The 25,010-nt window shown below is 48.0% G+C and overlaps 1 protein-coding gene and 2 long non-coding RNA genes across 12 annotated transcripts in view, besides 1 other annotated feature; 1 reads left to right on the plus strand and 2 right to left on the minus strand.

Annotated features, from left to right (window-relative positions):
* PLXNA4 (plexin A4) overlaps positions 1-25,010 on the minus strand; it is a 525,349-nt gene that overhangs the window by 262,789 nt on the left and 237,550 nt on the right. The gene's annotated exons all lie outside the window — the stretch shown is intronic.
* LOC105375511 (uncharacterized) lies at positions 17,518-24,221 on the plus strand. The gene is made up of 4 exons (XR_927983.3): positions 17,518-17,591; positions 20,556-20,678; positions 23,497-23,660; positions 24,121-24,221. It is a non-coding gene; the product is annotated as an uncharacterized LOC105375511 (long non-coding RNA).
* LOC102724906 (uncharacterized) lies at positions 23,048-24,308 on the minus strand. The gene is made up of 3 exons (XR_927982.2): positions 24,216-24,308; positions 23,857-23,935; positions 23,048-23,059 (listed from the first exon to the last, which is right to left on the minus strand). It is a non-coding gene; the product is annotated as an uncharacterized LOC102724906 (long non-coding RNA).
* Positions 24,262-24,556: an enhancer, noted in NCBI's record as "tiled region #6221; K562 Activating DNase unmatched - State 20:ReprD". NCBI's record gives its function as "activates a minimal TATA promoter and a strong SV40 promoter by Sharpr-MPRA in K562 cells {active_cell/tissue: K562}" and the evidence as "EXISTENCE:reporter gene assay evidence [ECO:0000049][PMID:27701403]".

Genomic DNA, 25,010 nt, shown 5'->3' on the forward strand with positions numbered 1-25,010 from the left:
GGGCCCCGTGAGCTGCCCAGCATTGAAACAAGCACCAGAGGTGGGAAATGGAAGAAAAAGAATGAGTTTGAAAGGAATCCTGCCAGCCCTGTGTCCCCAGAGTCATCCCCACCAGTCCTGGCCCACAGTGGTCCAAGAACAACAAAGACAGCCTCTGCAGGGAGAACACCGGGCTGTGTTTGCATCTCTGACCACTCCCCCAGCAGTCTGGATCCTGCCAAATGACCGCTGGTCAAACACGGGCGGGCTCCAGCTGGTCTCATTCCTGTTATGACTGCACTTGGGTTCATTAACACCCAGCCCTCCCCTGTGGGCATGCAAGGCAGGAAGCCTTCTCACTGGCTTGTTTTGCAGCCTAGCTTTTTCTTTCTCAGAAGTGGGGCAGGTGGTACTACATTCGAGTAAAATCATGCTTAGTGGGGAAGGGAACAGGCTGCCCAGGCTTGGGGTGGACACCTCTGGGGCCACATGCTCAGAGGCTCTCTGGCTGCCTCTCTCGTTAGTCAGCCTTTCCTGGCATACCCCCGGTACGTTAAACCGTCGTCTGAAATACCCAGCATTCTGCCGTGGAAAGAAAACATTGAGCTCGGAAAACAGGTGGGATGAGGATATTCCAGGGACCTGGCTCGAGAGCCTCAGCAGGGATCATGTTCCCCAGGGTTGTCCCCAAAGACGGGACACTTTTGTGCACAAGCTGCAGAGCATCAGAAAATCTTGGGGACTGCAAAGCACATCACATGTCTTATAGGCCAGAGCTTCTCAAATTGTTTTGAAGGGCCATTCTGTAAAATTTCCCATCTACTGTAGATGGATACTTTTGTCAAATACTAGAAGAACAAATTACTAGAAGAGTGAAACTTGAAGCTGCAAAATACAAATGCATTGAGTATGTGCTGGGATGTTGCATCAATATCAAGTTGCTGTATACATTTCTAAATGCTCACTCTCAATGTCTGTACCTATCTCAGCACAGGCCACTAACAACTCGTTCACAGAGTATATGCTGAATTGCGCTGGTCTAGATCCTTGCCACTCAATGTGTGGTTCAAGGACCAAGATCATCATCATTACCTGTGAACTTGCAAGAAATGCAGAATCTCAGGCTCCACCTCACACCTATTGAATAAGAATCTGCCTTTGCATAAAATTCCCAGGCAATTTGTATGCATGTGAAAGTTTGAGATGTGCTAGAATAGACCAGGCTTCTGAGCTAATAGATTATAAATGTTTTCTTTCCACTCAACCTTCACGATGTCTTTGAGTAAAGGAGATACTCAACGTTGAAGTGCCTTAACTAAGTTGGAGAGCAGAGGGGGATGTAAAAATTGGCAGGGTCTGCAGGCTGAAATGTTTTATGGGAGTTGAGTAACTGGCAAGAATGAAGAAGAAAAGCTGAGAAAACTGAATAGCCCATCTGTCGCCAGGTAACTCTATGGTTCAGAAGCCACCAGAGAATTACGGCACTCACTTGCCAGATCCAAAGGAAGCCCAGGAGAGTGAGCACAAAGGGTGAGAGACATTTATGAATCCAGTATTGGGAAATGGGCATTGCACCAGGATGAAGCAGAGAGCCCAAGGTCAGGGTGCTGGAGGAGACAACTTGATTCTGTAATGGAGATTGTGGGCGGCCCACGCAGAGACAGCAGGATGTTTATTTAGATCTTGTCTACTTAGCTGGTTGACTGGCTGCAAGTTTGATTATCATTCACCAGGTCTCTATGCCCTCAGCCGGAACCATGTTCCTAATCTGCTTGGCCATTAAGGGCTCTCTGAACCCTGCTCTGTCTCCAGCATAGAGCCAGAGAGGCTGGAAGCTCCCCGGGGTCTCTTTCTGCACCTCCCTCCCGCGGCATGTCTCTGCTTCTGTCTGGGACTGCAGGCCAGCTTCAATCAATTCCCACCGACCAGCAGCCCAGATCTTAATTAAAACATTCAACCTGCACACAAGTGAGGAGAGTAGTCACAGCCCCCTCAGTCCAGCTGAAAGGAAATCACAAGGAATATGTACAGATTCATAAGAGACTTCTATCTCAGGGTGCAGGTGGGGTACAGCCAATCCCTGGTTCCCTTTTCGGAGCACTCCCATACACCTGTCCTCCCTATTCCTGTCTCACCTGCACTGTGACTGTCACTTCGATCCGACTTCCATAGGAGTTCTCTCCCCTTCTGCCCCAAATCACTAAAACACAGAGCTGGGGAGACCCTGGAAACTGAGGACCCCCAATGTTAAGTATCTTGCCCAAAGTCACCCAGCCACATTGTGTCCCTGCCTGAGAGTAACAAGAAAATGCATGATTTGTAAGTCAATCATTCATATTAGTCCCAGTCACCAGATATTCCACCACGATGATAATTTTGTACTTATTATTGTATTGTAATAGTCTACCCTAACTAACAATTTTGGTTCAGAAAAAAAAAGGTCTCCTTATTAATGTCTTTTCTGTGTCCTGACCATGTATTTTTAGCAATCCAACTAAGGGGTTCCAGCTGTTAAACTCTTTGAAGGATAAGTACGTATGAAGAGTTTCACCCAATTACTTCTCCCAGGGGTCCTAAGAGGCTTTGGGGCCTTAAGTTGGGACTACATTGGCTTCAAGGGTGGATAAGACAGAAACTGTCTCAACCTTTGGGTTGTAGAATTCAGGGTGGGATGAGCTCAAGCCTGGGGCTCATGCCAGCCCTCCCTTCCAATTCTACAAGATTCTAGGAAGCATTAGCCTTCATTATTCTATTCCTCAAAGCAGGGCTTCTTTCTGGCAAGTCCCATAACATGAGAGGAGCCTGAATCCCACAAGCCATGACTGGCAGCTCAGAGCAGAGGCGTGTCCTTCACACAGCTCTGGCTGGAAGAGACAACATTCTCAAAAGAAAAGGGCCCCACTGATGACCAGTGATGATGAGCTTTTTTTCATATGTTTGTTGGATGCATAAATGTTTTCTTTTGAGAAGTATCTGTTCATATCCTTTGCCCACTTTTTGATTGGGTTGTTTTTTTTCTTGTAAATCTGTGTAAGTTCTTGTAGATTCTGGATACTAGCCCTTTGTCAGATGGATAGATTGCAAATATTTTCTCCCATTCTGTAGGTTCCTGTTCACTCTGATGATAGTTTCCTTTGCTGTGCAGAAGCTCTTTGGTTTAATCAGATCCTATTTGTTGTCTATTTTGGCTTTTGTTGCCATTGCTTTTGGTGTTTTAGTCATGAAGTCTTTGCCCATGCCAATGTCCTGAATGGTATTGCCTAGGTTTTCTTCTAGGGTTTTCATGGTTTTAGGTCTTACATTTAAGTCTTGAATCCATCTTGAGTTAATTTTTGTATAAGGTGTAAGGAAGGGATCTAGTTTCAGCTTTCTGCATATGGCTAGCCAGTTTTCCCAACACCATTTATTAAATGGGGAATCCTTTCCCTATTGCTTGTTTTTGTCAGGTTTGTCAAAGATCAGATGGTTGTAGATGTGTGGAATTGTTTCTGAGGCTTCTGTTCTGTTCCATTGGTCTAGATATCTGTTTTGGTACTGGTACGATGCTGTTTTTGTTACTATAGCCTTGTAGTATAGTTTGAAGTCAGGTAGTGTGATGCCTCCAGCTTTGTTCTTTCTGCTTAGGATTGTCTTGGCTATGTGGGCTCTTTTTTGATTCCATAAGAAATTTGAAGTAGTTTTTTTTCCAATTCTGTGAAGAAAGTCAATGGCAGCCTGATCAGGATAGCATTAAATCTATAACTTACTTTGGGCAGTAAGATACCATCTCACACCAGTTAGATTGGTGATAATTAAAAAGTCAGGACACAACAGATGCCAGAGAGGATGTGGAGAAATAGGAATGCTTTTACACTGTTGGTGGGAGTGTAAATTAGTTCAACCATTGTGAAAGACAGTGTGGAGATTCCTCAAGGTTCTAGAACTAGAAATACCATTTGACCCAGCAATCCCATCACTGGGTATATACCCAAAGTATTATAAATAATTCTACTATAAAGACACATGCATATGTATGTTTACTGTGGCACTGTCCACAATAGCAAAGACTTGGAACTAACCCAAATGCCCATCAATGATAGACTGGACAAAGAAAATGTGGCCCATACATACCATGGAATACTATGCAGCCATAAAAAAGGATGAGTTCCTATCCATTGCAGGGACATGGATGATGCTGGAAACCATCATTCTCAGCAAACTAACACAGGAACAGAAAACCAAACACTGCACGTTCTCACTCCTAAGTGGGAGTTGAACAATGAGAACACATGGACACAGGGAGGGTAACATCACACACTGGGGCCTGTCGGGGGGTCGGGGGCTAGGGAAGGGATAGCGTTAGGGGAAAACCTAATGTAGATGACCGGTTGATGAGTGCAGCAAACCACCATGGCACATGTATACCTATGTAACAAACCTGCACGTTCTGCATATATACCCCAGAACTTAAAGTATAAAAAATAAAAAATAATAACAATAAAAAAGAAAAGGCCCCCACTGAAAACACAGCCATCATTAACTTCTCTGTCTGGCAAAGCAAGCCCCAGGATGTGCCACATCATGGCCCCCGCTTCTTCTCTGCCCCATGAGTCCCAGCCCCCTTCTGCCCACCAACCACTCTCCTTCTTGTTTCCTGAGACACACCCAGCCCCACCCTGCCTTTCAGCAGGCACTTGCACTCCTTGAAAGTCCCAAGGAGCTTGTACTTCCTCACATTGGTTGGGCATGAGCTGGGCTAAGGCCTTTCTGTTCTCCTTTTGTGCTTCTAATGTTGAAAAATGATGTCTGTAATAAGACAGTAAATTCTTTGCTGGTGACTCAAAAGCCGGTAAGCAGAGAAGGCAGTGGATGGGAAGGAACGCAGAGGGCAAACTCTAGTTACTTCTCCCCATACCACAGCATCACAGTCTTAGGGAGTTTCCCTTTTGCCCCATCCCTTTCGAGTAAAGCAAAGGGATGATGGAATCTAGTTTCTGCTTCCCCTCAATGCCAGTTAGCATTAGTGGAAAGGAGAGTCTGTGCCCAGCCAGGAGGACGGAAGGGTACCAGCAGCTGGCAGGAGCAGGTATGTGCACGTGTGTGCATGAGTGTGTGTGGCCATGCTGCAAGGTGGCATCAGGTAGGTGACATGGGAAATGCAATGCCCAGCATCAGTCTCAGGGCAGGAGAACTGGGGCTAGGGGAATCCACTTCCCTTCCCTTACTCGATCTCCCCCATAGTGACTGGCAAAGCATGTTGAAGAAGAAGTAGAAACTCCTTGCATTTGTCTTCTGTTACTGGGGACAGCTTGTGCTGATATGTTCTAATTACTTCTCTGGTTCACCCATGTGAACTAATGGGCAACCTCAAGGGATAGTGCAGGATCCTGGGGCTAGCCAAAGTAAAGCACCCTTACAACCCTTTAGCCTGAGGGAGCAAAGAATGGGGATGTTTATTGGAAGCTGAAAGGAGAATCGTGTAGGGCAGATGACTTTGAGAAGTGATCTTAGGTAAAGGATGCAGCCAACCCCAGGCTACCCAGCAGGGGTGGACAGTGGGTTAGGGGGGCAGTGCTAAAAGTGGGGAACCAGTGTGAATTAATCTCCAACCTCTATCCTTTCCATCCCACCAGTCTCCTGCCGGGGTCCTCACTGTCCTGTTCATCCAGTAGTCAGAGGCCAGGGAGGCCACCGAGGCAGACTCCACAATCTTTGGAGGGCACAAGGCTCTGGAGCATGAATAAAAGATTCCTGGAATGGCTGGGCCCGGTGGCTCACGCTTGTAATCCCAGCACTTTGGGAGGCTGAGGCAGGTGGATCACCTGAGGTCAGGAGTTTAAGACCAGCCTGGCCAACATGGTGAAACCCCATCTCTACTAAAAATATGAAGCATTAGCCAGGCACGGTGGCAGGTACCTGTAATGCAAGCTACTTGGGAGGCTGAGGCAGGAGAATCACTCGACCCTGGGAGGCAGAGGTTGCAGTGAGCTGAGATCACACCATTGCACTCCAGCCTGGGCAACAAGAGTGAAACTTGGTCTCAAAAAAAAAAAAGAAAAGATTCCTGGAAGAAGCACACATTGGTGTGCATGGGAATTACTCATTGATATTTCTGTCCTACTAGAACATAAGTTCCTGGAGGGCAGCATCTATGTGCCAAGGGCATGATGGGCCCTCGATAAATATTTATTACATTAACAAGAGTATATATGAAGAAATGAAGGAATGGAAGGGCATCATGGAGGGAACAAAGCTAACTAACCTTCTTGTAGTCTGTAAATGTGCACCTGCTATCAGGAGGCCCCAGCCTGTCTTTCAGACTCACTCTCTGAAAAGTGCGGACACTGTTTCTCCCAATCTGTCCTCACAATCTTTCCAGGGCTGCCACTCCCTGAGTTTCCCAGGTCTCCTGGGTTCACAGTCATGATACTCCAAGCTGGCAGGAGGCTCACCCCTGGCAGGTGATGCTCCAGGCAGGTAGCCGAGTGCCCCAGAGGCTCTGGCAGTCACTGTCTGGCCTCAGTGCTCTTCTACAGTGAGGTGTGGCGCAGAGCTGAGCATCGCGCATTGCTGTATGCCCTGTTTCACAGTTACTGTGGCAACAGCCAGGCTTCAGCCTCGCCTAGGTTGTCCTGGGGAGGATGGGCCGCTGTTGGAGGCTACAGCAATCCTGTGAGCCACAGCCATCCTGGTCATTGTGCAGGTCCAGGCATCTCAAACCAGGGAGTAGACACAGACACTGGAGTCCTGCTGAGCCCCAGGCTGGCCAGGAGACAAAACAGGCGTGATCATTCACAAAACCCAGGAGCCCTAGGAGATGCCGCCTCCCTGTGTCCATCTGAGCACCCAGGCCCTGCAGCAGAGGACCTCCTCCGGTTGGCACGAAGGCGCTTCACAGCTTCCTCTGCAGCCACGCCTTACCCCATCCCACCCTACCCCATGCCCCAGCCAAATAAAACTATTACAGTTTTATTATACCAATTGTCAGTTTCCTCCTCCGAATTTTCTCATGCTGTTCCTCATCCTTTTCGCTGGAAATGTTCACTTATCCTCCAAGGCCTAGCTCATGCTTACCTTCTCTATCAGCAACATTGACCCCCAACACCCCCCCCCACCACCACCACCACTGACCCCAGCCCCACCCACCCAAGAAGACTCTCCCACTCCCCATTCTAGGCTCCTACAGAGGGTGATAAATCCCACTCCCCTGCCAGACTGTGTCTCTCATCTGATTATCAGCCCAGCACCTAAGGCAGTGAATGGGTACCTTGATCATGGTACCCTCAAGAACCCATGATCCAGAGAGGCTGTATTGGCTTTAACCTGGGTGTCAAACTAAGGAGTCAAGAGCAAACAGCCCCACATATGAACCTGGATTTGGGCATGGCTGATTATCATGGGAGCACCCTTCCTCCCAACAAGCTCATCACTCAAGTCCTACTTTTGTTAGCTAAACATTCATTCATTCATTCATCTGAGAAATATTTAGTAAGCATGACACTACACAACACTGTGCTAAGCACTGAGAATGCAGAGTGCAGCAAGACATAGTCCCGGCTCTCTAGAAACTCCTAGGCTAGGAGGAGAGACAAAAGAGTAAGTAGACATGGCAAGGGAAGTGGAGAGGATGGTGGGAATCCACAGAAGAGGCCCCTGATTCCATGTAAGAGAGAAACTGGACATTTAGAGGCTTGAAGTTCAGCCTGGATGAAACTAGCAGAGCGGGGCGGCACCAGGACACTAAGCCATCTTCAGACCATGGCAGCAGAGCCCAGGCTTGACTCAGAAGCGGGGCTGTGTAACAATCCAGGCTTTTCTGCCAACTTACGACAAGACTTATTAGAGATTCCAGGCACAGTGGTATTGAGACACAGACCACTAATTTGCACCCCACCCTCTTTTTTTTTTTTTTTTTCGTATTAACTGGCATCTCTGCCTGACCTTCCCCAATCCTCTGACAGCCTGGGAGTTTGCCTGGCTAGCAGCCATCCAGATTTCTTTTTTTCTCCAAGCCCTGGCCAAGACCCAGGATACATGGGAGAGGGGGAAGGGAACAGTTTGTGCTCATGCAAAGCTTGCTCTTGCATACAGCCCCTGGGCCGGGATGGAGCCGAGTTTCCTCTGAAGCGGGGCCCAGCCAGTAGAGCTGCCTCTGTCCTACCCCCTCGAGACACCCAAGCCGATTTGGTGCAGATGGCACCAGCAGATGCCAGTCCCTAGGAGGGTCCCTCCTCCCTAGCTAATGAGGGGAGCAGGTGAAGGGACCAGAGAATGTGATCAGGAGTGAGAAGTGAAACAAACACTAGATTAAGAGTTAGGAACCTGGGTTCTAGTCCCAGCTCTGCCACAAATAGGCTATATGACTTTGGGCAAGTCACTTCACCTCTCTGACCCTAGGTGTCCCTGTTGTCTGAGTCTGTGATTCTAGCTGTCAGAAGTGCAAATACTGCTTTAAAAGAAAGGAAAACTGGGTTTTCACTTCTGCTCTGTTGTTAACCTACTGTGTGATGTTGGGTAAATTCCTTCACCTCTCTGGGCTAAGATTAGCCATCTTTTAGAAGTCACATCGCACGCAACATGCAATTAAAACTGAGTTAATGTGAGGCCAGGGCCATGAATGACCCAGGAAGAAATCATGAGAATCTATGAAGAACCTTTCCCCACTTTTTCCCACTGTCCTTGCCCTGGGATTCTAGTCATGAGGAAGCTGCTGGTCCACCCACTGCATGTGCAGTCCTGCTCTGAGCTCCTGCCCTTCCTCCCGCACTAAAAAAATCTCTCTGCTTCGCCAGAATTCTCTGAGGCCATCTGTGGCTCTGATCCACCAGTCAGGTGAGCCGTGGGACCAGCCCTGGGGATTCTCAGCCTTCAGGGATCCTGGGCCTCATCACATGCAGATGTAGTCCTGCCTTTCCGGGGCAGGTGTGGCTGCACACTCCAGCGAAAGTGAAGCTGCATCTCTCTGCAGCCTTACAGCAAATGGGTAGCCACCACAGCTGCTGATAAACAGCTAGGGGAGCCATTGGCCAAATAACCCACTTTTCACACCTGGAAATAATGGGGGAAACACTCAATTAGGCATTCAGGTGTAGGTCTGGACTGGAGTGGAAGTCACAGCCTGCCCTCCAGGCTCCTAGAAATCACTGGTTTGAGGCTGTTGCAGGATGACAGGACCATGGGTTTTATGGGGGCTAGTTGGCATGGCTGAGGACAAGGGGCTGGCTGGTGACCATTCAGGCAGAAAGGAAGATGAGGAGTGGGGACAAGATGAATAAGCACTTTCTTTAGAGTCTGAGGCCCTGTGAGAGGAAGAAATCAATGGAAACCTTGGGAGGGACCCCAGAGAGAGTCCTGCTGAGAGAGGGTGTCGGCCAGATAAATTTGATGATGCAGCACTGAGTGGGGGCACAAAGTCCTATTTGAAGTATTGCAGGCAGGCTGGCACGTGCGTCCCACCTGTGCATCTCATGTCTGGCCATGTGGCCCCTGACATGCTGCTGGGCAGAACCAGGGGGAAGCAGCAGCCAGTTAAACCCTGGCACCCATGCAGGCAGCCTCTGATAGGCAAACAGCCTGGAAGCTGGGAGCCTCAATTAGCCTCTTGGAGAGAGGGGAGAGTATTACTTGATTTTCTTTGCCGCCCAGAAAAAGCAAGAAGTCCAGATGCAAGTGCAATCCATGACCACTTGCTCTAGAAGGAATGACCAGGATCCCCATGGCCGGGAAACAAATGATGAAGCCAGTTAGCAGCCTGATTCCAAATTAGAGTTTCTCCCATTATACCTATGCCTGTACACATGTTCAAGACACAGAAAGCTTTCACTGTTTGGGGGTATTTTGTTTTCTCACAAAATATGGGCAACTGGTATCCCAAGAGCTGCCATAGTTTGGTGAGATATAAATTTCTGGTCCTTTAAGCCTCACTGGAGATAGACAGTGATGTTGCCTGGGGACTTCCTGGGACACACAGCTGAACAAAAGTAGGGGTAAGGCAAATGTACCCTAGAGATGAGGAGCTGTGGTCAAAGTGATCACATCAAGAGAAAGCCTTCAGCCAGCCCCCTGGGATATCCCCACAATGGATGGGCAGAAAGGACTCTGGAGACTCAGTACAGATACTGAAGAGTATGCCATGCTTTGAAAATTGGGGAGTTCATAAAGGGAATGGGGAGAGCTGCAGGTTCCCTAGGTATCTATGGAAGTTTCGGAAAGAGATGAAGAATAGCCAACACATATGTAGCACTCATATAAATTAACTCTAATTTTCACAACAGCACTGTAAGATAAGCACTATTTTTATCCACACTTGATAGATAAGGAAGCTAAGCCACAGAGAGGTTAAGTAGCATGTCCAAGGTCGAACAACTGATTAGTGGCAGGGCTGGACTTGGGTTTTGGGTTTTTTATTTTTTTTGTTTGTTTTTGAGACAGTCAACCCCTATCACCAAGTATGGAGTGCAGTGGCACAATCTCAGTTTGCTACAACCTCCGCCTCCCAGGTTCAAGCAATTCTCATGCCTCAGCCTCCTGAGTAGCTGGGATTACAGGTGTGTGCAACCATGGCCGACTAATTTTTTGTATTTTTGGTAGAGGACGGGGCTTCACCATGAGATGAGGCTGGTTTCAAACTCTTGGCCTCAAGTGATCCACCTGCCTCAGTCTCCCAGTGTGCTGGGATTACAGGTGTGAGCCACCGCGCCTGGCCAGCAGGGCCAGACTTTGAACCTCAGGAGGCTTCTCCCAAAGCCTGTGCACTCTTAACCACGGTGCAGTGCACCCTCTCCAGAGTGAAGCAGGATGCTCGTTTCTTTAGGGAAAGACCCTGCCTTGGTGTGGGAAATAGAGCCTCCAGGGGCGGCCCTGCCCCACACCTGCCTGGGGCCTAGGGAAATCCTGCCCCAAGATCCAGACCCAGACACCTGCCACTCTGACAGCTGGCACAGGGATGGGGGCTGGGGACATCACACCACCCGCATTCTCTGCAGGGATACCCAGCCATCCATTTTAGGCTAAAAGCCTTCTCCGCATCTCAGCCTTCCCCAAAATTTTACAAATACTAGAAGATAAAAGCGCAGGAACCAGCATGAATGAAGTTGGTTTTTAAGAGACAGTGTTTAACATCAAGATCCTTCTGATGTGAGTAATTTGGATTCTGATGCAATTCTGGATTGTTTGTTGAATTATGCATCAGCAGCTTCTGTTGCTGTAAAAAGCACCACCGTCACTCGAGCTAATCTGAAACCTGCAGCAATGAAGACAGTTGGGTTCACAGTTTGGATACTGAGATGCGTCTTTGATGATAGTGAACCAGCAGAAGGAGAGAAACAGACACAAGGGCAAGTGGAGAGCAGGTAGTAGGAAGAATTGGGGGAATGAGGTAGGATTAGGTGCTTTATTTACCACACACTCATGAGAGCCCCATGCTGGGAGAAAGAAAAGACCCAAAGAGGTGAGCAGATATCAGCTTCCCCCAAATCCAGGAAATTCCACAGGATACAGAAAGACAAGAACAGAGAGAACCAGGGATTCATTCTGGCAAAGGATGAAGCAGCTCCTAGACTGTCAAATGCCCACTGTCTCTACCACCTGAAATATGATGCTCTCCTTCAAGCTCTTGACCTATGCTGGGGGCCTTCCTACTGGGCCAAAGGCCATCATGGTCATCATTATTAATTATTTTCTCAGTGTTTTAATATGTATTTCAGGTTGATATCCTTATTTAAAAGCAATAGCTAAGGACAGTATGCCTATTTGACGAAGGGCACAGGGGAGAAAGGTGATATACCTAAAGTCACACAGCTGCTTAGCAACCGGAAGGAAATTGGAATTCCAGTCTCCTGACTGCCAGTCACCTTCTCTTCCATCACCCCAGGCTTTGCCATCTCACTATGGAGGCTCCCAGGATCTCTGACAACCCATCAGACCCACTGCTTAGGCTGGGAATGCCAAGTCCCATGCCTGGAGCAGTAGAAAGCAAAGGCACCAAAGCCCCAAGCTAAGCCACCTAGTCCAAAGCCACGCTGTGCCTCTAGCATGGTGTGTCCCTGAGCAAGTTATGGAACCCTTGGTGTCTCAGTTTCCTTATCTGCCATAGACGCCTGATAATAGTTCTTGCTTCATGGAATGAGATGATCCATTTGAAACCTTTGGATCAATGCTAAGCAGAAAATAAATATAACCTGCCATTTTCATTATTGATATTCTCCTGTGAAACTGTTGTGACTTCAGAGGACTGATCCCAAAGCCTGCCAGGAAGACCCTGCTGAGTGTCCCGCTCTCCTGAATAGCCCATGTCCTCACTATCACAGGTTCTATTCGTGTCGCAACAAGGAACCACACATCCAAGGCAGCCAAGCCAGGAGGGCCCTGGGTGTGCGGGAGTCAGCTCTGTGGAGATGCCGTCCATGCCCGGTCTGACGGGAACCCCAGCTCTGCGTTTCTCCTTTTCATGAAGCCAGTGAGCCAAAACCACCCTCCTGGGCTGGCCCAGTTTAAGAGCCTGGGCTCCAGGGACGCAGGGAGGCCCCTCAGCCCAATTATAAATCAATCTAGCAGCACTCACTGAGGCCATTGCCATAAATGGCTCTAAAAGCTCAGCCTCTTTCGGCCCAATAGGCTCAGGGCTCCAGGATTAATGAGCATCAGCTGCCGGCAGGCTGGTGGGGACAGATGCCGACCTAATGAGCACAGTGGCCCAGCCCTCGCCAGCTCGAGGTGGACAGGGCTGATGAGCAGGTGTCATTGTCATGATGCCCCTTTGCCAAGTGTCACTTTGAAAGGGAGGGCTGTTGTCATCAAGTGGCATCTTATTACCCCACCTCAGGACACCCACAGGAGATTCTAAAGGCTGTCCACAAAGATGGCCTTTGTGGCTGCCACCTCCACTCCTCAGCTGGCCCTGGCACCAGGTTTTTCTCAAGGCCTCTCAACCACAGGGCTGGATAAGGGTTTTAGAATCCTGGGCATCCCCTCCCATCCCATGCCATCTGATTGGTGCTGCATTAAAGTACAGAGGTCCCTGCTAGAATTTCCCTCAGTCACGTCTCTATTACACCCACGGGCTTCAAGTTTGCCTGGAGTATTTACACACAGTTCTGCAGATTCAAATGGATTCAAATGGGCGCAAGGGCTCAGCATCACACTGGTCACCAAAGGGACACAACCCAGTCCCTGCAAGACATATCAGCTTGTATGTCAGTCAAAGACACAGGCCTTAGAGGGACTGATCATAAGCATAAAACATAGCAACAACAAAAATAGTCATGATCACTTCTTCAGCATTTATTTTGTGCCAAGCACTGTTCCACGCTCTTTATATGTGCTGGCTTATTTAGTAAATGTGAATGAAAGACTCTGAATAATAAGAGTCACGTTATATTAAGGCAGTCAATGCAGGTGAAACAAAAAAAGGAAAGATCACTTCGGCTGACTGGAGAAATCAAGAGAGGCTTCATGGGGGAGGCGGGACCACACTGGTCCTAGTGCAGTCTGGGAAGAGTGTTCCAGAAGCAGAAGCAGGCACACCTGGGCAGGGCTACAGTGAGTTTGCTGAAGGTCACACATCTGTGCTTTGGAGGGCAGAGCTGCAGGGCCACAGGTATATTCAATGTAGTGGGTTCTGGCATCTGAAAATGTTGTTAGGATGAAATTTCAAAATCAGGTTTTATTCCTGATGAAAGTAGACTGCTCTTAACTGGGGCTTCACTGCTTCTTTTCCATTTCTGTTTGGAGTGTGATTTTTTTAAGGTAAGATGTACACGCAATGAAATGTGCAGATCTTCAGTGCACACTTTGATGAGTTTTTGACAAATGCCTTCACCTGTGTAACTAACAATCCAATCGAGATCTAGAATACTTTCATGGGCATGAAAGGGGAGGAATGTGACCTTTGTGATCAGATGGTCCCATACCTACATCTTCTGGGCATTTGTAAGTTGGAATAAATCAAAATAATCAACTTCCTCCCTTACCCCACGCCAGTCCACCTCCTACCCCCGGAGAAAAAATAAAATAAAATTCATCCACATCTAAACAGACAAATGCCTACCTAGTCTGTCTGTGTATTTGTTACCTTTGTGCCCCAGAACCAAGCTTCATACCAGGCACAGAGTGAATGATCCATACGTGTTTCTTAAAAAAAGGAATTAACATCCTCAGATTAAGGTCTCCCAGGAAGTAAAGGACTCCACTTTCTCTAAGTTCCCATGTGACACTGACAATTATATTTTCCTGTCCTCTCTGTTGAGATTAGGAAGGAGTCCCTAGGAGGATGCAGAAGAGTATCCTTTTGTCCTGTCTCCTACCTGTCACCCAGACTCTTGTGTTCTCTACAGCCAGTCCATCTTAGGCCTCAAATTCCATATGTTTGACAAAATCAAGCAGGTAGTTCAAGGTGCTCGTCTCTCCTCCCAGCTATTCAGCAGACAAAATCTGTGACATAATGTACCCCAGCCTCAGACACGCTCACCCTTCTTTCCCAGGCCCTGTGTGAATGGGCCAGGCCACTCCTTGATAGTTTTCAGGCAAAACACATGAGAACACTCCCAGGAAAGAGAAGCCTCCAGGGGTACCATCCGTATGCATACCACGCATTTACTTCCTAGCCTCACCAGCGTTTTGGGTGTGGCCACAGCTACTCCCCAAACCTTTCATCTTGCAAGTCCCTAGATGTCCTCCTCGGGAAAGCTCCCTGCGCACAGCTTGTGGGAGACTGCAGGCTCATAAACAGCATAAGCCAGCATTCCAATCAGATTATTTCTCACTTGCAATATTGCACAAAGAGAAAAAAATAATGCTGAACATTCTGTTCGTGGAAGAAAAAATAGCAGGAGAAAACTGTCACATTGTTTGGTCTATTTTCAATTTCATTCCCGAGCCCTGCAAATAGCTATCTGTGCAAGCAGGCCAGAAGAGGACTCCAGCGACCTGACATGCACGATCTCAGATCAGGTCTCTAGGGCCTGTGAAAAAGGGAGAGACCTTTGGCTGGCACATATCTACACATGTGATAAAATTGCACAAGACTAAATACACACTCGCCAATGCAAAAAACTGGTGAAATCTGAATGGATAAGCTTGGTGGGTTGTACCAGTCAATTTTCCATTTGTGATATTGTACTATAGTTATGCAAAATGATGCCACGTGGAGGGGAGAACTGAGTGAAGGGTACAGGAACCCCTCTGTACAATTTATTGCAATTGCATGCAAATTCACGATTATCTCAAAAGGCAAAGTTAAAAAAATGCGCTTCCAGTGTCTGATTTAATGGGACTAGGTTGCAGCCTGAGCATCAGAGTTTTAAAAGCTCCCTAGGTGGTTCTAATGTGAAGCCCAGGCTGAGAACCTTTGCTCATGAAGGTTGGGAAGGTGAGACACACACATGAAATCCAGAAACAATCAGCATGTGATACAGTACCAAAAGCTTCATGAATACTTGTGGAGCAAATCAGTGAACTGCTGAACAGACGCATAAGGTTAGAGGAAGTCCGGTAGGATGAGGGAAGACTTCATGGTGAAGTGGAACTTAATCAGGACGGGGCATAAGTGGAGAATTCAGAGGACGGGAAAGGGCCCTCTAAGCCAATAAAGAAGGGCTCAGAGATTGTGTGGCCATACTGGGGAGGAGGGGAAGAACTGAACTTGGGGACAGCTGAGGAGTGAAGATGGATAAAACTTTTCATAATAAACTGGCTCTATCCCTGTGCTTAGACGAGTGGATCTTTCAAACACCTGAACCAGCTCTAAGTCCCTGCAAATTGCCAAGAGCAATTTTCAGCAAAAAGCCAATTCCCCAGAAGGCACTTGGCATCTCTCAGATAAGCAAAAGAGGGGGAGGCTGGAGAGGCTTCAGAATATAGTATCGATGGGTATAAAAGTAAGCAGTCCTTGTCATGGTTCATGTCACTTTGCCTGACTGCACTTCAGCTGGCCTTAGATTCCCCAGTCGAGAGCCCAGCCAGGTGCTAGAAAATACCAGAAATGACCCGGGAAAGGGTAAAATGGAAATCTCAAGCCTACATACCAAAGCGAATGCACTTGACTCAGCAGGTCCCTAGAGTAATCATGCAACACCTCTTTATTCTTATTTTATACACAAGTCTAATAAGCTTGAGTATCTGTTTCCAAGCCCGTAGCAAATTAAAAAGAACAAATTAAGTGGCAGCAGGAGAGCTGCATCAGACAGGATCAGTGACAACAGTGAGAAGTGACAGGTGCCAGACACCCTGACGGTAGGCGGGGAGACAGAAAGCTATAAAAAGTAACTTGGGGCACTCACCTAACATGAGGAAGCCACCCTAGCGAGGCACAGGGGCTCCATTGTAAAGGTGGAGAAAGAGCTTTAAGATACTCAAGTCCAAGTTCTAAATGCCTTGGAGAACATCTCTTTGCCTTTTCCTGTTATTAATTAGTCCAACATACACACAGGGGAGAGGGGCAGTGTGCTGCTGCAGGCTGCCACTATGGGAGGGGCAGCTGGCTAATCATCTTATTGCAGGAAATACCCCCTGCCAAAAACACAGCTCCCCTCTCAAAGCCTGCTTTCTCACCTTGTAGCACTGGCCACTGCCATCACAGGGTATGCAGAGCAAAGGACAGGCTGCTCCCGAGCCGCTCAGTCCATCGGATCAATCAGGTTTAACAAGGAGGCATCCGAGGATCAGGAGAAACACCTCCTACATTATTACCACAGCACCATCACTTTGCATGAGACAGGTCTGGCTGGGAACGCCACCTCCAGCATGGACAGAAACTGCGTGTCCTTGACCCAGTTGTTTCATTTCTTGTGCTGAGCACGCCCACCCATTGACCCCCAATCCAGAGAGCTAGTGTTGAAGAGCTCATTAACAAAACACAAAACACTCAGCTGACGCACCGCCACCATGCAAATGCGTAATAACTGGATCTCTCTTCCCCCACAGCTAACCTCAAGCATCTCTTCTTGGCCAGCTGCATTGCCTTGGCTCTCTGTGTGGTTCAGAGCCAGAGAGGGCAGGCTGGGCAGCCACTTCCATGCCAACATCCCAGGAGGCAGTGCTTGGAGCAGGAAGATGAGAGAAGATGATCTCTCCCACTACACAGAGCCCAGGTCCCGGCCCCAGACTCAGAGGCCCTGACGCCTGCTATGCCTGGTCCACAAAAGCAGCAGGGAAGGGCATGGATGCTGGCAATGCACTGCCCCCTCAGGAGCCAGCACTCAATCATGTTCTCTCTAAAGAATGCCAGTGTCCCATTTTCATCCAAATGTGAAAGTTGAAAAAGAGAAGTCAGGCAAGGGAGAGAGGCTTTTAAGATTTCCCCTACTCAGGGGAGGAGCTGGCAGCGTGAGCCTAAAACCAGGCAGGCAGGTAACGGGAGGGGGCCCTAATTGCTGCTAAAGATCACGGGGTAACCCTGATGACACCTGAAAGTCTTCCGTGGATCCTCAGGCACAAAACATAAATCATCTCCCTCTCACTTCTTACTGATCGCGTTTGCTTGCTGTGTCAGCTGAATTCCCAAATTGGCCTGGGTTTAAATTGGGACTTTTTTTTCCCTTCCTGGCCTGGCTTTTCCTCCACTCTCTCTCTCCAACCTCCTCCCACCCCATGGGAAGTGATGACAGAGGAATCTGCCTGCGGACTCCAAAATGCAGGTTTGTGGCTTCACTTTGTGGGGTGGGAGGGAAGAGGCAGAGAGCAGGGAAGAGGGCATTTGGGGGCTTACTTCGGGGACAGGACCTGAGGGATCAGGAGGGAGAAAGTGGCCATCTGGACCCACTTGCCGACTTTTGGTGTCCTGTCCTCCTTCCAAGTAAACCCCTTCTCAGTCCCCAGGGCAGCCAGGAGAGTCTGCAACAGACATGCTCCATTCAGTAGGGGCGGGACTCAGGAAGTGCAACAGGGAAGGTCAGAGCCGGATAACGGGTCTGTAGTTGGCCCTGCTGTTCTGGGGAGCAGATATTCACCTGGGCTCTGTGGTGGGCCAGGAGACAAGGCTTTCTTTCTTTCACTTCTTTTGTTTCCACGGGTCCCCAAGCACCTCCATAACACAGGATGGGTCAGAGCCCATTGAGGAATTAACCCAGAGGCCTTGACCCTAAATAGCTCCATGAGAAGGCTGAACCTTACTAACCCTCCAGGAGGCTGATGTGAGGCTACACACAATGCCACCAGCTCTGATGGGCCCGCCCAACACAACTCCAGGAAATGTCCCAAGAAAGCTTTCCAAAGACCCCTTTTCCTAGACTATGGGGGACTCCCCCCAGTGACTTCATCACTCAAACCACAACCAAAACGATATGCAGCCCCCTTAGCCTTTGTGAGGCAGAGGAGAAGGCTGGTGCGCAGCCTCCACCACTGTCACCAACCAGCCCTCACAGGCCCAGAGCCAGGGGGCAGTGGGCAGGTGGCCTCCCACTGGGTGGCAGAACAGGATGGCCACACAACCAACACGGCTTGCTGGTGTCACAGTGTCCCTGTTACATGGACCTGGCAGTGCACCAGGTGACATGGAGGCCACACACTACAGGGTAGTGATTAAGAATGGACTCCCAAGTAAGACTGCTTGATTGGCATCCTAATGAGCAATATGATCATGTTATTTAACTTTCCCATGTTTTGTCCCCTGTTAAAGGGGGTGATAGTAACAGCGCCACCTCATAGGGGTATAGAGATTGAGATAATTCATGTAAAGTTCTTAGAACAGTGCCAAGCTGGTGTAGGTTGTGATTATTATTCTGATGCCTACTACTACTATTATTATCCCTGTGGCCCAGGAGACCAGAAGGTATAGAGGGTGGAAAGACGAAGCTTCAGGGGGAGTACTGCACAGGGTGGGGTACTACTGCCTTCCTGTCACCCCAGTGTTCCCACTGGCTTCCCCAGGGCTGGTCCTCCTTGTTGTGAAGGATCTGAGTCTGACGTTCTACTTTAAAATAACATCAAGGGGATCCATTGTTTCAGCAAAATAATAAGAGAGGGCAGCTGAGGGTATGTGTGTGTGTGTATGTGTGTGTGTGTGTGTGTGCATGTATGCATGTGTGTGTGTGTTGGACACATTCTCTTCTGAGGGATGTATGTTTTCTACTCCATAGCTCTCAGAAGCAGTTTGCTGAAACATGGTACTCCCAGCTTGGCTGAAATCGGGAGGCAGGGCAGTGGAGCCTGGGCCTTGGTGATTAAAAGTCTGGGTTTGAAATGGGCTACCGCAATGCCGAGTTTTGGGTTCCTTGTACACTGATGAGGCAGGACTAGGCTGTGCCTACAGCTGCTCTTACTTAGGAAATCCTAGGAACTGTGATTCCATACCTGCTACATTGGACTCACCACGAGATGCTGAGCCAGCCATCCCCTTTTCTCTCTGATCTCACTCTTCCTTGGTTCAACTTCCCTGGTCTTCAAGAAAAACAGTCAGAGGAGCAGGGGCCACAGGAAATGGAGAGTCCTGGTTACTGCCAGCCTTGGAAAGATGGGTGACAGCTCTCGGTCCTCCCAGGGGAGGAGGTGTCGGCTTAGCAGGCCTCCTCAATCTGGAGCCCAGGCTGCAAAGCCAGGGACGCTGGGCTGAGTGGATGCCCCACAGGTCCCACAGCCCATCACTTGCAGAGCCAGGTGGTATTTCTGGTTTTCACTACACATACCCATGTGGCACAAAACATACATTGTGAGGATGTGCAGAGAGCATCTGGATTCCTTAGACTTCAGGTTCCCCATCCTTTAGGGCAGTTTTAAAAATTGTTTCGCTGGAGGCCTACCCAGGAAATCTTACTCACATTGAAAACCAGGATGAAACCCAGGAAAACAAGTCTTCCCCTTGCTACCTGTAATGCACTCAGATATTTTTCTTTCTTACTCTATTCCATTTAAAAGAAGGTTGGCCACAGCCCACTACATTGACTTAAAGCCATACGATGAGTTTGTGGCCCCCTGGCTTGGAAAGCACCATTTGAGCAGCAGGGCAGTGACAATGACTCAATGTGGCCTCAGTGCAGGCAGAAATCCCATTTTGCAAAGGGACAGACTGCCTGACAAAGTCAGAGTCCAAGTGTCTCCAGGCTTACACTGCAGGGTTAAAAGAACTTTTCAGATCCATGAACCTCTTCACAGAGAAGGATTTCTGCATCCTTCCAATGACTAATTCTCAGCCCAGACAGAAGTTGGCTCATTTGAAAGGGATAGCATGCCCTCCTGCCACACAATGGTCTGAGTATTTTTTCCGTGGCCCATAAATGAAGCTGACATTAGATAAGTCACTCACGCACTTCAAGAACTTCTTCAAAATTGGAGTCAGTTACTCAGCTACTCCAATTGTGGCTTATTTCCTCACTTCTGAGATTTTTAGGAATTGAGTAAACTAGAGCGCGTTCTAACTCACCTGTTGTTCACCTTTAACTCTCCCATCTTTGGATGCTATGGGAAACCCAGGAGCCTCCTGACCACATGAATGAAAAGAATAGGGCTTCTCCTTTGGCCTCCTAGCTTCAGAGCATCTGCTCCCTCCTAGCCAAGTATCACTTACTTAGGCATATCTGATTTTTATCATGTCTCAAATTTATAAAACCAAAAAAAAAGAAAAGAAAAGGTCCAGGGTTTACCTCATCCAGCCTTCTGTTTCACAGGTTAAAAGAGCATGACCCAGGGGCATTTACGACTCACCTGGAACCACACAGGTTGTTAAGAGTGAGGGCTAGAATTTGGGTGACCTGTCTCCCAGGAGCCACGCAACCTCTCTGTGAATGAAGGTAAGAAGGGCCAAGTTCAAATCTCGAATGTCCTTGTGCTTCCCCAACTCTGCATTTGCAGAGAAGGTTGAGTGGGCACCGAGAGAATCAAAATAGAGTAGGTGTTCATTTTGAGGGGAAAACTCAACTTTCTAGGCCTCATTTACCCCTTTTCTAATGATAAGGAAAACAAGCCCAAACGGGATTTCCACTTTCATAAGAACCCTTCATCTCCCAAGTCCTCATCTGCCTTATGGAGTCTGGGATAGAAGGGCATTCTAGTAATAGCTACACTGATGGCCCTGACTGATGCACCTGCAAAGACAGATATTGACGCTCTCATTTATTCTGGTAGTCCTGCCTGACAGACTGCCCTAAAATGAGCAGGAGCTCATTATCTCAGCTGGCCTTCTCCTTAAGCAAGGCGGAAATGGCCCAACCCTTTCTGGGACACCCCACCCCTGGGACTCGGAGGCCCTCTGAACAGCAGGGATGAGATGGACTGATGTGGATCATCATAGTAGCCAAATGAGGCCCTCTGGTGATTTTCACAGAGAGGTGTGTGGCACCCATTTTCTAGTGTGAGAAGTTTCTAGTGTGAGAAGTGTGTTTTTGAGTCCATTGATCCGGCACTCTGGATTTCCTCCAGGGATGTAGATGCATCCTACATGCATGCACACATGCACATGCACACAAACATGCACATACACCAACACACAAATACACACATGCACACACACTTGCACACACACATGTGCACACAAATTGGCTGCTCAGGTCCTGCATCCCAGCATGCCCCCTGGAAACCAACCTACTTTGTTTTATTTTTATTCCTGGGACTACGTCAATACATCTCTCCTGGTGTGGAGGGTGGGCATCAGTTTGAGGGGCTTGTCCTAGTCAGTTGGGCTAAATGGGGCCAATTCTTTTGCTTTCCAGGGTGGATGCAGGGCTTTGTTGAATTGTGAAGAATGTTAAATGAAACTGTTTATTCATATCACAATCTCTGCTATGCCACAGAACATGAACTTAGAACACACAGATTTTATACATCGGAAACAAGAAATGTCTACCACATTAGCAAAGACTTAATAAAATTTCATAGCTTTCTAGTGGGAACATAAATTGGAACAATACTTTTGGAAAACAATTTAGTAACAGATAGCCAATCTTTAATGTGTTCATACCCTCTGGCCTAGAAATACCGCTTCTGGGACTCTAGCCAAAGGAAATAGTCTGAAATACAGGGATTTAAAAAAAAAAAGACCTTTATGCACAATAATTTTCATATCAGCATTATTTATAATTTAAAAATGAGAACTAACTTAAATATAAAACAGTAGGAGAGTGGGTAAGTAAACTACAATGTATTTGCATAATAGAATATTAAGCAGATGTTTAAAATTATATTTATGAAGAGTTTACAAAAAGTGGGGAAGTTAGTTGAGTTACAAGGTTCACTGAATAGGCAGGAAAAAATGAGACATAGAGTATAATCTTATCTATGGAAAATGATTAACATAAAACATCGAAAGGAAATATTAATGATAGCTGCAGGCGGTGGCATTCTGGGGGTGCAGTTTTTACATTTCTTATAGATTTCTAAATGTTTTAAATAAACAAGTATTTTTCAATTCTTTTTTAGCTTTGAACACAAAAACACTTTATTTATTTATTTATTTATTTATTTATTTTTGAGAGAGAGTCTCACTCTGTCACCCAGGCTGGAGTGCAGTGGTGCAATCTTGGCTCACTGCAAACTCTACCACCCGGGTTCAAGTGATTCTTCTGCCTCAGCCTCATGAGTAGCTGGGACTACAGGCACGTGCCACCACATCTGGCTAATTTTTTTCTATTTTTAGTAGAGATGGGGTTTCGCCATGCTGGCCAGGCTGGTCTCGAACTCCTGACCTCAAGTGATCCACCAGCCTCAAACTCCCAAAGTGCTGGGATTACAAGCATGAGCCACTGCACCTGGCTAAAAACACATTATTTATAAAAGGAGGTCCAGTCACATCTCTCCCATTACCTCTGCAGATGACTGCAGAGAAGTGCCCTCTCTGCCTGCCTCCCTCCCGCCCCCCACCCCATGTCATCTTCTCTAAGAGGAATGCGTTGGATCACATGATCTCTAAAACCCACTCTGCTCTCACATTCTGTGTCTTGAAATATCATCCCCCTGTGTTTGAGACTGAGAATGGGATCTCAAAAAGGGGTCCAAGCAGCGAAACTATGCTACAAGTAAAACACTGTAATCATCCTAACAAGACATGGACTTGGATGGTCTTCTAGAAGATGCAGCTGTTCTTTTACAGTCTTCAGAGAAAAATGCTGACTTGATGTCCTTGGGATTGAACATCTGGAGCCAAACATCCAAATTAATGGGGTCGCGGGCAGCTGCCCTGTGAAGCCAGAAATCCAGGTTAGGGAGGTGGGGGCTCAGCTCTGTGCCTCCATCCAGGCCCTAGCTGGAGCTGACCTTCCAGGGTACTGCAGTAGATGGCTTGGTGGCCCACACAGGCACAGCAGGACAGATCCCATGTCCTATAACCCCCTATGGCAGCTCCAGCCCCGAGACGTCTTCCCTTGACCAAACTCCATGGGATTCTTTTTGTCCGTTATGAGCATGGGGCACCTTCTTACAAATCATCTGATGGTCTCATGGTTTCCAGTTCCATTTCCTCAAGGACATTGTCTGTCACCCCTTGAAAGTCTGTCCCTCCTTCGATCATCCCAGAGTGGTTGAGTGGTTCACAGGGGAGGGGAAATGAGAATCCACACATTGAACCAGCTCCCCACCCTGGATGAGGGGGTTAATTGGATTTTTCACTCTTTCAAGGTGGAATTCCATGATTTGATAATTACATGGGACTGTATCTCTCCCCTGGACTTTGGCCATCTTTCCCACCGTTCAGAGAAAATACGACTTGTTTCTAGACCTGATATTCATCCAGCATGCACCAGGATGGATGGAAGATAAAATACTGAAATGTTTCCACACTGGTTGGTAAATTACCGTCACCTGCGGATACCTCCCCTGTAGTCCCAACAGGCTGGCTCGTCCTCCGGGAGATCCCCCAGTGACCTCCCTAAGATGTGTCACCTAAAGGGTTAATGCCTGGCCCGGCAGGGGGCCCCCAGACTCTTCACCCAGCATTAAGTCTTTGTGCCCTTGAAGTTTAAATATTTTGAATCTCACCTCTCCCTGCTCCCTCTTTGGAATTGAGTCCCTTGGGTTGAGAGAAGCTGACTGTAGTTGCCTGGGATAACCACGATGGCTGAAATGTAATAAGGAGGAATTTAGGCTTGGATCCTCACACTCTCCCTCCTGCTTCTAGGGGTGAAAGTTGGGGGATGGCAACAGTTTTGGGCAAACAGGTAGGAAAGGGAAACTGTGCCCACCTCCCCGTGCCCCCCTCCCCCAGCCCATGCTATTCTCAGCATTCACAGTTCCTCTTTACAGACAGGACTGAGACCCTCTGAGCCAGCACTGTAGAATCCCAGAAGCAGCACAGTGCCTTCCATCTGAGCTTCTGAAGTACATTTCACACATAGCACCTTCAGAAGGAACAGGAAGGAGAGACACTTTTCCTGACTTCGCCCATGAGGAGAAGGAAGCACAGAGATGTGAAGCTGCCTTGTCACTCGCACAGCTGAGACAGACCCAAGCCTAGCCTTCCCCCCTCCACAGGGATAACCGTTAGAACTGCCAACTCTGTCCCAACGGGCAGTGAGGAGATCTGACAGGATTACGTCATGTGCTCTGTAACTGGGAGACACATTTATGAGCTGACAACCAGAGAGGCTGGTGTCATAGAGGAAGGAGGGTTACCAAGTGCTGCCTTTTGATAATAAAGGTTTCGTCTGTCTAGGCTGCCTGTCTCCAAGCACTCTGGCCAAAAACAGACATGCAATCACTCCCCTCCCCAAGGCGCTGGTGGGGAAGACTGCTATCGTTTATGCTTTTACTCATCTCCATCAGGAGGTGTGGAAGGTGCCACAAACCTGCCTCGACTCCAGCTAGTTCCCCTTCTGACGGTGCACCCACCCATCTGTCCATTCCCCACAGCAGGCTAGCATCCATTCTAGGTGGAAACTCCACTGGAAGCCCAAACCTCAGACGTGAGCCCCAGGAGATACCAGCCTGTACAGCAAGCCCCAGTCCTCAGTAGCATCTTTTAGAAAAAGTTCTGGTGCTTTGGCCATCATCCCGATTACGTTTGCCCATGACATGATCCGGCTGTCATGGAATAAAGAAACATGAGGGTTTCAATGCAAGGAATGTTTAGAAATAGAGAACGAAAAGAATGTGCTTGATCTCATGTTTTCACTTTAATGTATTCAGAGCTGGCA

Source organism: Homo sapiens, chromosome 7, assembly GCF_000001405.40.
Source record: "Homo sapiens chromosome 7, GRCh38.p14 Primary Assembly".
Lineage (NCBI taxonomy): Eukaryota > Metazoa > Chordata > Mammalia > Primates > Hominidae > Homo > Homo sapiens.